General features: G+C 42.1%; 1 protein-coding gene across 38 annotated transcripts in view; it reads left to right on the top strand.

Moving 5' to 3' along the window:
- Positions 1-14,331, top strand: part of GRB10 (growth factor receptor bound protein 10) — a 203,386-nt gene that overhangs the window by 50,810 nt on the left and 138,245 nt on the right. For 9 of the 38 annotated variants that reach the window (XM_047420249.1, XM_047420247.1, XM_047420236.1 and 6 more), the window contains exon 1: positions 10,283-10,372. The exons of 20 other annotated variants lie outside the window; for them this stretch is intronic. Coding sequence is in view for 5 of the 18 variants with exons in the window: in XM_047420241.1 (XP_047276197.1) it covers positions 10,322-10,372 (51 nt within the window). In the remaining 13 variants the exon portion in view is untranslated. Of the gene's footprint in view, positions 1-10,275; positions 10,373-14,331 lie in introns of those variants that run through there. 9 more of the 38 variants (NM_001371008.1, XM_047420241.1, XM_017012034.2 and 6 more) reach the window with 5 other exon arrangements.

Below are 14,331 nucleotides of genomic sequence, written 5' to 3'. Positions count from 1 at the left end.
TCCAGTAGTTGGGACTATGTCAGCAGTAGAATCATGCAAGGGCTTGCAGAAACACATGTTATGGGACCACACCCCCTCCACTGAGTTTCTGGTTTAGTAGGTCAGGGTCTGGGCTCCAGAATTTGTGTGTTAACAAGCACCCGGGTGATGCCCATGCTGTATGTCCGGGGACCATCATTTGAAAACCCTAGGACTTGTAGGATCCTGGTTAAGAGCATGGACTCCTGCACTGAGCTTCGTCTCCTTCATTGAGTCCCATCACCAGCCCTTGGCCTTCATCTCAGCACTTCATTTTCTTGTTGTGATCAGTGGGAATGGATGCCGTGTATGTGTGTGTGTGTGTGTGTGTGTGTGTGTGTGTGTGTGTGTGTGCGCGCGCGCGTGCGCGTGTGTTTACACATAGACAAATACATAAAAAGCACTGAGCCAAGTGCCTGTTATTAACAGGTGCTTCAGAATCTTTCTTTCCTTCCCTTGACAAATTATGGTCATTGATTGGTTCTTCCATCCAAGTCCATTCACTTTCTTTATATTGGTAGGTGGGTGGAGTTTGGGTTTTACTCAGTTTCATCTTCACTGTTTATATTTTAAGTGTTTTTACTTTAGATGATTCTGATTTGGGTTTTTTTTTTTGTAAAAATTAAAATTTCAGTAATGTTCAAAATTTATTTCTTTACTGGTGTGCATAAAAATTACTGTGTGATTAAAAATCATTGTATTTCATTGTTTAAAATTTTGTATGTTTTTTTGACTATACATTTAAGAGATTTGTCTTTTATTATATTTCTTGGATTTCAATTTTGTCATGCTTTGCTTTCCGATTTTTGACTGTATATTTCCCTCTTTCTGGTTCAAGATGGATGGGTTGGTGTTCATTTATTTTGTCTTTATAAAATATGCATTTCATGGCATGAGTTTTTCTTCTTTTATTTCTCTTGCTTCATTTTATTTGTCTTGACACATGGGGGTGTGCATTGTCCTAATTGTCTAGGACTGTATTGTATCTTTATTTCCTCCTTGAACCACTTATTTAGGCCAGAGCTTGTTTTTAATTTTCAAGTGCCTTCGTTTTTTTTTTTTTTTTTTTTTTTTAAACACATGTTCCTAATTTCTGGTTTTCTTTATTTGGATGTAGCATGGAGCCCCTTGGCACATTGGCCTACGGTCCCTGTCTCAGTGCTGGACATTTGGGGTCCTGTCTGCAGCTGCATGCAGGCTGGGAGGAGGCAGCATGTAACAGGTTTTTCCTTGGGGCCGTGTTCTGCAACTCCAGAGATCTTTGCATTTTTGTAAAATGCACTACTCTTCTTTGTGGTTTAGTATTTTTAAAAAATAATAATTTTGCAAATGTTTATAAATATTTGCAAATGCCTGTTTTTCATAAATATCAATTAATGCCTTCTCATTACTCATTCCAATTTTATTTCTTTGTCCTACATAATAGACCAACATCTGCAACAACTAGTTTTCCTCGTTTTCTCCTTGAGACTCTCATAGTGTTTGTTTTTAATGTAAACTTTTTATTGAAGTGTAAACTTTTTATTAAACTTGCTTCTAATTTTAGCTCTTTGTATTTTGATACTTTGCTGTTTGGAGGATAATACTGTTTTTATTCATTATCAATTATGCTTTTATCAATGCTTTTTAGTATTTGGATTATTGTTTCTTTGCTTTAAGTGACACTTGACTATCATTGCTACCATTGCTTTTATTTTGTTTGCATTGTGTTTGGTTTTTATATCTGTCCATTCTGTCTTTTTCTTTTCTAGCTCCCTTTTTAAAGCTTTTCTATTTGCCTTGGGTATTTTTTTTTTTCATTAGAATGGTTTTGAATATTATTTTGAAAAGGAGAATTGGATGACTGACATTTACTGCTATGTCTTCTCTCTTCTGTTGCAAATTGTTTGGGTTTCGAATGAATGTGTCTTCATCTATTTTCCCTTTGATGTTTAAAGAATTATGAGTTTCTTTTAATGTTTTTATTATGGCTTAGAATGTAAATATTGTTTTCCATTCTACATGTGATTATTTTAATATACCGTGAACATTGCTCAATTATATTTTTCTTAATAAAGAGTAGGATCTTCTGGCTTTTATGGAAGGTACAGCTTTTAAAAAAACAATTCTATGATGATTTAAGACTCAAAACGTCTTTCTAAAATTTTAAATTTTGAATTGAATTTTATTATTTAACCCAATCATCATTAATTGTACAACTTACCCTTATTAGTCAGCAGATCTTTCTTGGGTCCCTGTTACTATCTGCTGTTCTGGGTATGGCAGGGAACAAGACTGAGTTCTTGAACAAGATGGGGTTTGTGACTGTCTCAAAAGTGAAGCTGTCAGGAAGTGGTTGTTGCCATGGAGAAGATACACCAGGGCGATGAGCTAGAATGGTGTGCCACTTGAATGGGTCAGGTGTGGCAGACATGCGACTGTCATCTGAGTGACTGGCAAGTGGGGGCCAGTGTTCTGGGGGAGAGAGGAGAAATTCTGAAACACACGTTCAATGTAGATTTCCTAAGGAATGCAGTAAAATGTTCTAGTACTGTTAAATGCACATTTTGGATTTGTGGCTAAATAACAAAAGAAAGGATTCATGTGGCACAGTCACATGACTTTCCCTCCAGCCTCACACAGTTTCCGGGCTGGCTAGGTTCCTTTAAGCAGATGAGCTGTGTTTTCAAAGAGCGGGAGTCACAGGAAGAGGTGGCATAAGAGCTGTGGTGTTTGCTGGGAATGTTTCTGGCTCTCCTGAGTCAGGGAGGAGAGAAATGAGGACTGAGGGGTGAAGAGGGAATAGAAAGAGAAAGGCCAGTGGGCCAGCCTCTCTGTGCCCTGGACAGCACTTGGATGTGAAGGGGCAGGCATGGGAGGGGACGTGAGGGAGCGGGCCCTCCAACTGAAGTTGGTGACCCCGATGTTGACCACAAGCCCAAACACAGCCCTGCCCTATTTTCAAACTGTAGGTTTCAACCTGTTACCGGGTCTTGAAATCAAGTTAGTAGGTCATGAAAAGCGTTTTTAATAAATACAGTAGAACAGAAAAGGAAATATGAGAGTGGATTGCATGGGTTCTTAGCATGCACTTAGTACGTTGCCATGTGTGATGAGCCACATGCCATGCGGGATAGACAAGGTGAGCATGGATTGGTCACGGATGTGTCATTTGGTCATCTGCTTACTGGCATTGGGTTAGAAGATGTCTATTTGACTATCTTTTCAGAAGGGAGGGTAAACGCTCTACAGTTTAAATCCACCATAAACATAATTTGCAATTAGCTGCGAGGTGAGGGCCTAAGAGTATCATCTACAGTCTGCTAGACTCTAGAGTTTCAGTTAGGAACACCCAATGTACTTTTCAGAAAAAGTGTTATTGGGTGCAACATTTTTGAAGTTTATGACAGTTGTATCATTTTAATTTAACTAGTACAAGTTGCCCTAACATGGAAAAACAAAAAACAACCCATATAATCGGAAACACAAAGACGTTCAACTTCAGCTGCTGGATCCAGAAGTGTAAATATTGGCATTGTTAAGAAAAATGTTGACTTTAGAATGAGTAAACTTTTGACTCTGCTTGAACGATTTTTCTGAACTATAGTCCAATAAAGAAGTTTAAGCTTTATCATGAAGATTATTTAAATTTTCATTAATTAAAATAAACAAATTTTAATATATTATTTATAATGATAATCTTGCAAAGGAGGGTTTAACCTTCGACATTAAAAGAACAATGTGAAACCACCACAGCAAGCCAAACTTGTTAGTAGGCCCTTTTAATCAAGGGAAGCAAAAAGACAACAGATATTGATACAATTTCTTAATCATCTGACAACGGTTAATGAGAAAGTCTTTAGTTATTATAGACAGAAAGCTGCTATCTATCTACTGGCTTATAAAACTATTCCTCATTATCTGTGAATATGAATCACATATTTTGATAAATCAGCTGATGATTTAGAATCTGAACTCTTTAAAGTAGCACAGTAGATGATCCAGTTGTATAACTGTAGGATGTTCAGAAGTGAGCTTTTTATCTGGGCATGGTGGTGAACTCCTCTAGTCCCATAAGTCCCAGCTGCCTGGGAGGCTAAGGATTGCTTGATCCCATGAATTTGAGGCTGCAGCAAGCTTTGATCACACCACTGCTCTCCAGCCTGAGTGACAGAGGGAGACCGTGTCCCTTAACATTCCATGTATGTATATACCACATTTTGTTTGTCTGTTGATGAATTATCCATTAATTCATCAGTGGACACTTAGGTTGCTTCCACCTTTTGGCTATTGTGAATAGTGCTGCTATGAACATGGGTATAGAAGTACCTGAGCCTCTGCTTTTGATTAGTTTGTATTATATGCTTAGAAGTGGAGTTGCTATTATATGCTTAGAAGTGGGTCATATGTTAATTCTATGTTTAATATTTTTGAGGAATCACCATATTATTTTCAACCACAGCAACACCATTTTGCATGCCTACCAGCAATGCTCAGGGGTTCCAGTTTCTCCACATCCTCACCAATACTTGTGGTTTTATTTTTTATATCAGTCAGCCTAATGAGTGTCAGGTGGTATCTTGTTGCAGTTCTGATTTGCATTTCCCTAACGACTAGTGATGTTGAGGACCTTTTCATGTGCGTTTTGGCCATTCGTATATCTTCTTTGGAGAAAAGTCTATTCAAGCCCTTTGTGCCTTTTTAGATGAGGTTGCTTATGTCTTTTGTTGTTGAGTTGTAGGCATTCTTTATTGCATTCGTCTGTTTTTTTTGTTTCTTTGTTTGTTTGTTTGTTTTTGAGGTAGAGTTTTGCTCTTGTCGCCCAGGCTGGAGTGCAATGGCGTGATCTCAGCTCACTGCAACCTCTGCCTCTGGGTTCAAGCAATTCTCCTGCTTCAGCCTCCTGAGTAGCTGGGATTGCAGGTGCCTGCCACCATGCCCGGCTAATTTTTGTATATTTAGTAGAGATGGGGTTTCACCATGTTGGCCAGGCTGGTCTTGAACTCCTGACCTCAGGTGATCCACCTGCCTCGGCCTCCCGAAGTGTTGGGATTACAGGTGTGAGCCACCACGCCCGGCCTAGTCTGTTGTTATATTGCTATAAAGAACTACCTGAGACTAGGTAACTTATAAAGAAGAGATAAAGAAGAGAGGTTTAATTGACTCACAGTTCCGCAGGCTGTACAGGAAGCATGGCTGGGGAGGCCTCAGGGAACTTAGACTCATGGAGGAAGGTGAAGGGGAAGGAAGCACATCTTACGTGGCTGGAGCAGGAGAAAGAGTGAAGAGGGAGGTGCTACACACTTTTAAACAGCCAGATGCTATGAGACCTTTATCATGAGATAGCACTAGGGGGATGGTGTTACGCCGTTAGAAACCACCCCCATGATCCGGTCACCTCCCATCAGGCTCCATCTCCAACGCTGGGGATTACAGTTCAACATGAGATTTGGGTGGGGACACAGAGCCAAACCATATCATTTATATATTCTGGGTTTTAATCCCTTATCAGATAAATGCTTTGTAAGTATTTTTTCCCATTCTATGTGTTGTCTTTACAATCTTTTGATAGCATCCTTTGATGCACAAACATTTTGAATTTTGGTGAAACCCAGTTTATTTTTTCTTCGGCCTGCACCTTTGGTGTCATATCTGAGAAATCATTGTCATATTTAATGTCATGAAGATTTTTCCCTGTCTTTACTTCTAAGAGTTTTATAGTTTTAGCTCTTACGTTTAGGTCTTTCATACATTTTGAGTTGCTTTTTGCTTATGGTGTAAGTTTAGAGTCCAGCTTCATTTTGTTGCATGCTGATGTCCAGTTTTCCTAGGACCGTTTAAAAAAAATTGGTTATTTTTATTTTTTTGAAACAGTCTCACTGTTGCCCTGGCTGGAGTGTAGTGGCGTTAATCACAGCTCACTGCATCCTCAATTCCTGTGCTTAATTTGATCCTTCTGCCTCAGCCTCCCAATTAGCTGGGACTACAGTGCACGTGACCATGCCTGGCTAATTTTTTTAGAGGCGGTGTTTCACCATGTTGTTCAGGCTGTTCTCAAACTTCTGGGCTCAAGCAATCCACCTGTCTCTGCCTCCCAAAGTATGGGGATTACAGGCGTGAGCCACCATACTCAGCCCCCAGAACCATTCATTTATTGAAAAGCCTGTCTTTTCCTCAGCGAATGGTCTTGGCATCCTTACTGAAAATCAGTTGACCATATATGTGAGGATTTATTTCTGGGCTGTTTGTTTTATTTCATTGGTGTATGTTAGTCCTTATGTTAGTACCAGACTGTTTTGATTACTGTAGCCTGGTAGTAAGTTTTTTTGTTATTGTTCATTTTGTTTTCTTTTGTTTTTTTGAGATGAAGTCTGGCTGTGTTGCCCAGGCTGGAGTGCAGTGGCGCAATCTCGGCTCACTGCAACCTCCACCTCCCAGGTTCAAGCAATTCTCCTGCCTCAGGCTCCCAGGTAGCTGGGATTACAGGCACATACCACCACACCTGGCTAATTTTTGTAGTTTTAGTAGAGGTGAGGTTTCACCATGTTGGCCAGGCTGATCTCGAACTCTTGACCTCAAGTGATCCGCCCGCCTTGGTCTCCAAAGTGCTAGGTTTACAGGCGTGAGCCACCATGCCCAGCCGTTAGTAAGTTTTGAAATCGGGAAGTGTGAGTTCTCCGTGTTGTTCTTTTTCAAGATTGTTTTGGCTGTTCAGGTCCCTTGAGAAGCCATATGAATTTTAGGATGGCTTTTTGTTTTGTTCTGTTTTGTTTTTTTTCCTGTAGTTTACTCAAAAGGCAAACAAAAAATCTTTCATTTTATATATATCACAATATTATATAAACGTCTTTTTCAAAAGAGAAAACCAAATTTCATGTTTGTATTAGTGCATCTTTAATGCTAAAGCTACTTTTTAATAAAATTTTTTAAATCTGTCTAGTTTTAATTAGTTTTTATTAGTTTTAATGAGTTTGACCATAAGGTAAGATTTTCATAAACTTTTTAGAGTCCTTTACAGTTTTTCATTGAATAGCAGATCACTTTTTTTAAGGAAACCCTGTTACTCAGACACATGGGCCCACATTCTGGCCCTGCATCAGTGTGCTTTCATTTTCATGTTCAACCTACAGAAAAACCTAAATCATCCCCTTTCAATCTTAGCCAGCTTGCTCACAGAACTTCACAAGATCAGCCCTTCACACACCCTCAGCTCTGTTTCTGCAAAAAAAAATATCATTAGGATATTGATAGGGACTGCATTGAATTTGTAGATTGCTTTAGGTAGTATTTCATCTTAACAATATTAGTTCCTCCAACACAGCATGTCTTACCGTTTATTTATGTCTTTATTCTTTTAGCAATGTTTTAGTTTTCAGTGTACAAGTAGTTCACCTCTTTGATTACATGTATTTCTAAGTATTTTGTTATTTTTGATGCTATTGTAAATGGAATTGTTTTCTTAATTATCTATTGGATTGTTCTTAATTTATAAACACAAATGGTTTTTGCGTGTTCACTTTGTATCCTGTACCTTTGCTGAACTCATTTACTAGCTCTGATAGTTTTTTATTATGGAATCTTTAGGGTTTTTACATATAAGATTATGTCATATGTCATCTCTGAACCTTGATGATTTTAGTTCCTCCTTTCCAATTTGGATCCCTTTTATTTCTTTTTCTTGTCTCAGTGCTCTGGCGAGGACTTCCAATACTATGTTGAATAGAAGTGGTGAAAGTTGGCGTCTTTGTCTTGTTCCTGATCTCAGGGGAGAAGCTTTTCATCTTTCACCATTAAGCATGATGTTAGCTGTGGATTGGTTACATTTTATTAGAGACCAGAGATAGCCCAGCCCTCTTACTGTATCTAACTATAGTTTACTTGTCCCAAGGAAACTGTTCCACTGGGCTTATGGGACACACATTTTCCTGGCGGAGAAGCCATCTCCTTTGGCAAATACTTTCAAAGGTGATATTTAGGTAATAAAATTGGCATATTAAGTGATATTTTTGACAGTCTTAACACACATTAAGTTTGAAACTTCAGGGAGAAAATAAGAACATATTTCTATATGTCAAACACATCCAGGAATTCCAGAAGGCATATTAGTGAGGGCCAGTGAGTCTCCACGGATGAGCTGGGAGACTGGGAGATGACCACAGCAGGGAGGCGTGCGGCGTGCGTGGGGGGTGTGGGCAGCCTGGTGGGATGTGGCAGAACTGTCACCCAGCGGGCAAGGTGGCCAAGAGGACACTCCTTCCTCTCCCAGGCCCTCAGAGATGTGGGCGAAGGGGAGAGAAACAGGTCCTTGCAGTTAGGGGAGAAGGCAGAAAGAGTGTTTAGAGATGGGGCTAGGACATGGGAGGTGGTGGGGTGAGGTAGAGAGTGAGGAGTCGCACAAGAGTGTGTTTGCTGGTGTGGAAGGCAGAGGCCGCCTGGCTGCCCGCAGGAGACATCCAGGCATGGTCCTGCGATCTGGCAGCAAATGATTTGGGGCACTGATCCACCTCAACGGCTAGGGGTGACGGCCTGTCCAGTGAACCCAAACCGATATGTGTATGAAAATAAATAAATATATGTTTAAATATATAAATATTTATATTCATATGTATTCAATATATAAAGATTTATTTTAAGGAACTTGCAAGTTTGAAATCTGCAGAGCAGGCAGGCTGGAAACTCAAGCAGGAGTTTGCTACAGTCTTAAGCTAAATTCTTGTTTCTCTAGGAAATCTCAGTGTTTGCTCTCAAGGCCTTCTGTGGATTGGGTAATGCCTCTGTTAAGGGTCATTTCCTTTAAGCCAAGTAACTGTAGACATTAACCACACCTACAGAATACCTTCATGGCAATAGCCAGACTGGTGTTTGACTAAGTGACTGGGAATTAGAGCCTGGACTGTTGACGTGTAACACCAGCTACCCCGAGGACAGGCTGACTGTGAGCCGGAGAAGGCTGAGGCCTTGGGGCTGCTGATCATGGCAGAGGTGAAGGGTGGATGCGGGCACAGTTCTCACTGAGTAGGTTGGGGACGTCTGAGCCAGGTCATGGACCTGCTCCCTTCATTGTGCCAGTACTTCCACTGCTATTGACTGCTTCCTTTCAGCCCCAGCAAAGTGTTCTGGGGCGTTCTTTGGTGATTTGAGGGATTCTAGAGAAACTCTTGCAGAAAACATGGTTGGTAGTAAATTTTACAGATCTGGGATGCTTCTGTTCCTTTTAGCTGTGATGAGAATTCCCTAGTGATTTTATATTTTGGGTCTGTGTTAGTTTAGTAAGGCTGTCATAACAAAGTGCCACAGACTGGGGAGGGGGCGAGGGGACTTAAATAGCAGAAATCCATTTCCCGCAGTCTGGATATTGGAAGTCCATGATCAAAGGTATCGGCCGATTTGGTTTCTCCTGAGGCCTCTCTCCTTGGCTTGCAGATGTTCATTTTCTCAAGGTGTCCTGACATGGTCTTCTCTCTGTACAAGTCTGTGTTCTAATATTCTCTTCTTACAAAAACACCGCTTGTATTGGATTAGGGCCCACCCTCATCATCTCATTTTAACTTAGTGACGTGTTTAAAGACCCTCCTTCCAAATACAGTCACATTCTGAGGTACTAGGAGTTAGGGCTGCAGCTTAGGAACTTTGGGAGGATACAGTTCATCCCATAACAGGGTCTTGTCTTGATTTTTGTTGTTGTTATTCTGATTGTTAGAATTAATATCCCTCATTTTATTCGGTACTAGGTGCCGTGGCCCACAGGGGAGAGTATGTAATGAGTTTGTCAGGTTGGATGTCCACTGAGAATTCCGATTTGTTCTATGGCTTGTGGAGCTAGTGTTCACTCAAATGATGTTCTGTGGTCCTGTCCCCAAACACACACACACAACCCCTTCTGGGCTTCTTTGGAATTTGTCTGAATCCCTATTTGCGAAAGCTTGATGAAGTTTGCAGGGTGTTAATAGATGGTATAGGGAAGAAGGGTGAGGCAGTGCAGGAGAGTGCTGGGAATGTGTGAGTTAAATTTAGAGGGTCTGATGTCACCCTCACCACTCTGGGCACCCTTCTACCCCACAGACTTTTGACCTCACAGATGACCTCTCAGGGCACCATAGTTGGGGACCATCTCTGCATGTCAGCAAAAAGCTGGTGCCCCGAGCAAGTGTCCTTACTGAACCTACAAGCTAAGACCAAGAGCTGCCCATTCAGACATGTCACACTTGAACCAGCCATAAGTAGTGGATTTTTTTTTTTTTTTCTGGCTTGGCTTCTCACAGTCTGTCTTTATTCCAGGTGCTGCAGCGCAGTAAATGTAATTTGAAGAAGGCAGAAGGAACCCATGGCTTTAGCCGGCTGCCCAGATTCCTTTTTGCACCATCCGTACTACCAGGTATGGGCGAGCACATATATCTGATCCTGGCCCGATGGTGCTGGTCGAGGGCCAGGGCACACATGTCGCCAGCAGCCATGGATCGTTTCTGTAGCTCTCAGGTCACTAGGACACGCTGGAGCAGGGGCTGGTGACAAGTCCCATGGTGCAGAGGCCCACTGCCCTTTCTGCCTCGGTCTTCTGTGTCTTGCTTTGCCTTGTAAGATAGCGTGGTCATATTCCCGTTTGACTGTGCGTACTTTTCTAAAAGAGTTTGGTTGTAGTACAGAGTTGCCCCCTGAGAGCCGGGCTTCCGTGTTTGGAATGAAGCAAGCACTCACTGTGTTTTTCACCTTCTGGGTCGGGCCAGACACTCCTGATGACGGGTTCTGCAGTGATGGTGGTTGTCGGGACATTCACCTGGACACATGTGCTCACGCGTGAGGGAGTGGGAAGGAGAAAGGGCTTGGTGTCTTAACAGATGTTCTAGAGGGAGTCCTCTCCACAGATTGGCTCTTTCCTTTCCTGAGAGCCCTAGGTGGAATTTTGTGGGAGAACAAGTTCATTTCTGTTCCTTCACTTTCTCTAGCTCTTCTTCATGGGCTGCTAGAACAGTTTCATCTGCAAGTTCCCTTCATCTTCTGAAACAGATTTTATTTGAACTTTCACTTGGTGTAGACAGATTCATTGTTAGGGGATGGTCTTTGGTTCTTTAGATTTGATTCGCGAATCCTGGTTCATCCTTACTCGTGATTTGTCATTGGAAGTACTTACACCATCTCTCCCAGGCCTGTGACTTTTCGGCTGGAGCAGTCCTAGGTTTGGAAGTCCTTTTATATGTTCAGGCTGTGGTCAGCTTTTTGCACTTCTTTGAACTTATTTTCTCTCTTAGTCTGTGAAGTCTCTTTTTAGCTACTGTGATGAGAAATTGCCTACAGCATTATGGCTGCAAAAAGATGCCTTTGAACATTTTTTTTTTTTTTTTGGTATCTAAGTGAAGCAAGCCTTCGAAGAAAGGCTGAAGATTAGGAATACCGTTCATTCTAATCGTCGAATGTGACACAAAGCCAAAATTGGTTACAAGCCAGAAAAGAGGATTAAAACCTTAGCGAACTGCAAAGTTTGGTGGTGACCCCTGAGTCTGTGTAGTTTGTGAGCTCTGGAACAGGCATCTGCCTCTCCCTCTGCATAATTGTCTTCTTGTTCTTAAAGAGGCTGTGGTTGCCTCCCCCCATTGATTAAAGCTCTGTGCTGCACCCACAGGTCACAAGTCCAGTTCTCGTGTGGCCAGTTAGTGTTAGCTAGTTGTCCGGGCCCGACTGCACCCTTCACCCCTGCCTGCCACTTCCTACTCAGTCCCAAGAGAGTGCAGTCAGTGAGCTCAAAGAACATCCCCAAGGGAAAGTCTCTCTTGAGGTCATTTTCGTAGTGCTGTCCTCGGCTGGGTATAGAATAGGCTTTTAGGGCCAGATAATGGCCACAGAGGTTCTGTCAGCTTCCCTTCCCTTCCTGGCATTTCCAGTTTCCTGCTGGTACCTACAGAAGTGGCAGACTTACAAGCTGTGTCAGTTCCTCCCTTGATGGCCTTGTTAGGTGTTTGTAGTCACCGATGCCCCAGGCTGCTTTCCTGGAGCCAGGAAGTCAGGAAGGAAGGGTGGGCTTTCCCTGCTATGTGCTGTCATGCTTTGAGGAAATACTCATTGCTTCTCAGGGCCATTTGAAAGCACTGTCTTACTCTTTAAAAAATTTGACAGCAAGACTTGGCGGCATATGTCCCTTGTTCCTGGAAAATAAGATGACAGTTCCAGAATTTCTCAGAATATGGGATGATTTACAATGGGTTCCAGTCTTGAGCAGTCGTAATTATATTATAATAATTAGATAAATCTCCAGAGTTTTATAGAGAAAAATTTATTCTTAAAACCTTCAACATACAAATAATTTTCTAATTCTAGCTGTTCACTTGCAGCAGTGGCTTGGATTAGATAGATGGTTCAGTCCGTGAGTCACTGATGTGATTTTTAAAATATGCACAGAAGCACCAAAATTACTGTATGCATTTAATCATCCTGCTGTTGGAGGGCAGCAGTTGGGGAGGGGTTCTGGCAAGGTTGGGGATGACCCACTTCACTTTTAAGACTTAAGTTTTTCCTTTAGAATGTGACACATCATAATTCTCTGACCTTGGAGAAATCCTGCAACTTTCCCTACCGCAGTTTCCATACCGAAGTTTTGGTAGAAAAGGGTTAGTGGTATCTGGGTTGTAGCAGGGATTAGAGGAAATATGTCTAAATTACCCGGCGCCTGGTCATCCTTTAGAAGCTGAGTCAAGGGCTGTGATCTTTAATTCTTTGATAGAGCACCAGCCAGGTACCAGGCACATGTTTTGGGCTAGGGAGCCAGCTTTGAGCTCGGCAGACAGATCTTTGGGGCTCCTGGATTCCAGTGGAGGAGACAGACATGGAACAACTGGCAAGTGAGATAGCTGTGAATAATGATACTAATTCTGAAGCAAATAAAATGGGACAACGGGGGGAGAGAGGGCCGGCTGCCTTGGTCTTCGGGGGGGGCTCCGTTAGTAGGGTCCTATAGCTCATTGTCTGCCATTTTTAAAATCAAAAGGTCTGAAGCAAGAAATTTCCTCATTTATTATGCCACGGCAGAGTCCAGAGCTTTGCCGAACACAGGGTCTGCCTGGGAAGTGGGATGGGGTTTATGGAGCTCCCTCTGGGCCCTGCACATCTGTGTTCATTGATGTGGACACTGTGTTATCATTCTCCATTCCCCAAAACTCTTAATTCTTAACCATGTCCAGCCTCCAGGCTTTTGAAGAAGGAATTATGCACCTATGACAAAATTATGGTAAATAAAAGCAACATTTATTATCTTTCAGAAAAATGCAAAATAGGAAATAAAATGTGCTTGGCTACAAACTTCCGTACACAATGTTGAACTGAGCATTAGAAATGAAACAACTTGCATGTGAATTTTATGTAGGTGATTAAATTTACTGTTGAATTTCCAAAAGCAATGTTTTTATTTTCATAGTTTTCTGATTTCTGAATTAAAAACAATCATGCTTAGAAATGAGCCATCTTAGAAACTCTCCTTGCCATCCTGCCCTGCAGAGCCTCAGCTTTTGGTGGAGATAATGGCAACAGCATTAGTGCACATACACGCTGTCCAGCCCCAGGACACCACAAGATGTGTGTTGTGGTTCCATTTCAGTGCTGTGTCCCTGAAGCTTCAGGCGGGGAACCTACTCTTCTAGTGCAGGGCTTGACGAACTGCAATCTGCTTTTGCAGATAAAGTTTTATTGGAGGCTGGTCTTGGTGGCTCACGCCTGTAATCCCAGCACTTTGGGAGGCAGAGGCGGGTGGACCACTTGAGGCCAGGAGTTCGAGACCAGCTTGGCCAACATGGGGATACCCTGTCTCTATTGAAAATACAAAAATTAGTCAGGCGTGGTGGCGCACACCTGTTATCCCAGCTACTCAGGAAGCTGAGGCAGGAGAATTGCTTGAACCCAGGAGGTGGAGGTTGCAGTGAGCCAAGATCGTGCCACTGCATTCCAGCCTGGGCGACAGAGCAAGACCCGGTCTCAAAAAATAAAATTAAAGTTTTATTGGAACTTGGCCATTGGGTTTTGTATTGTCTGTGGCTGCTTCCAAGCCCCATCAGCAGAGTTGGGTAGTGTTTGACCCTTTACAGAAGAAAGTTTTTTCTGGGACACTGACTGCTAGAATGAACCTTTTTGGATGGACAGAGGCTCAAGGGGGCCTCCTTGTATCAGCTCATCTCCTCCCCATTTTCTGGGTTAGAAACAGTCCTCAGATGAGACTTCATCTGCTGATCACATACAGCTTTGGATTTTCTGTTGGGTGCCCTAGATTCCTTAATCTTTTGGCAGTGCGTGGAGGAGCTGAAAGATGACATCATCTCCGAGAGTTGATTTGGGCTCAGTTCCTGGAAATGAATT

This window comes from Homo sapiens, chromosome 7, assembly GCF_000001405.40.
Source record: "Homo sapiens chromosome 7, GRCh38.p14 Primary Assembly".
Classification (NCBI taxonomy): domain Eukaryota; kingdom Metazoa; phylum Chordata; class Mammalia; order Primates; family Hominidae; genus Homo; species Homo sapiens.
This window is presented reverse-complemented; position numbering and strand designations above follow the sequence as displayed.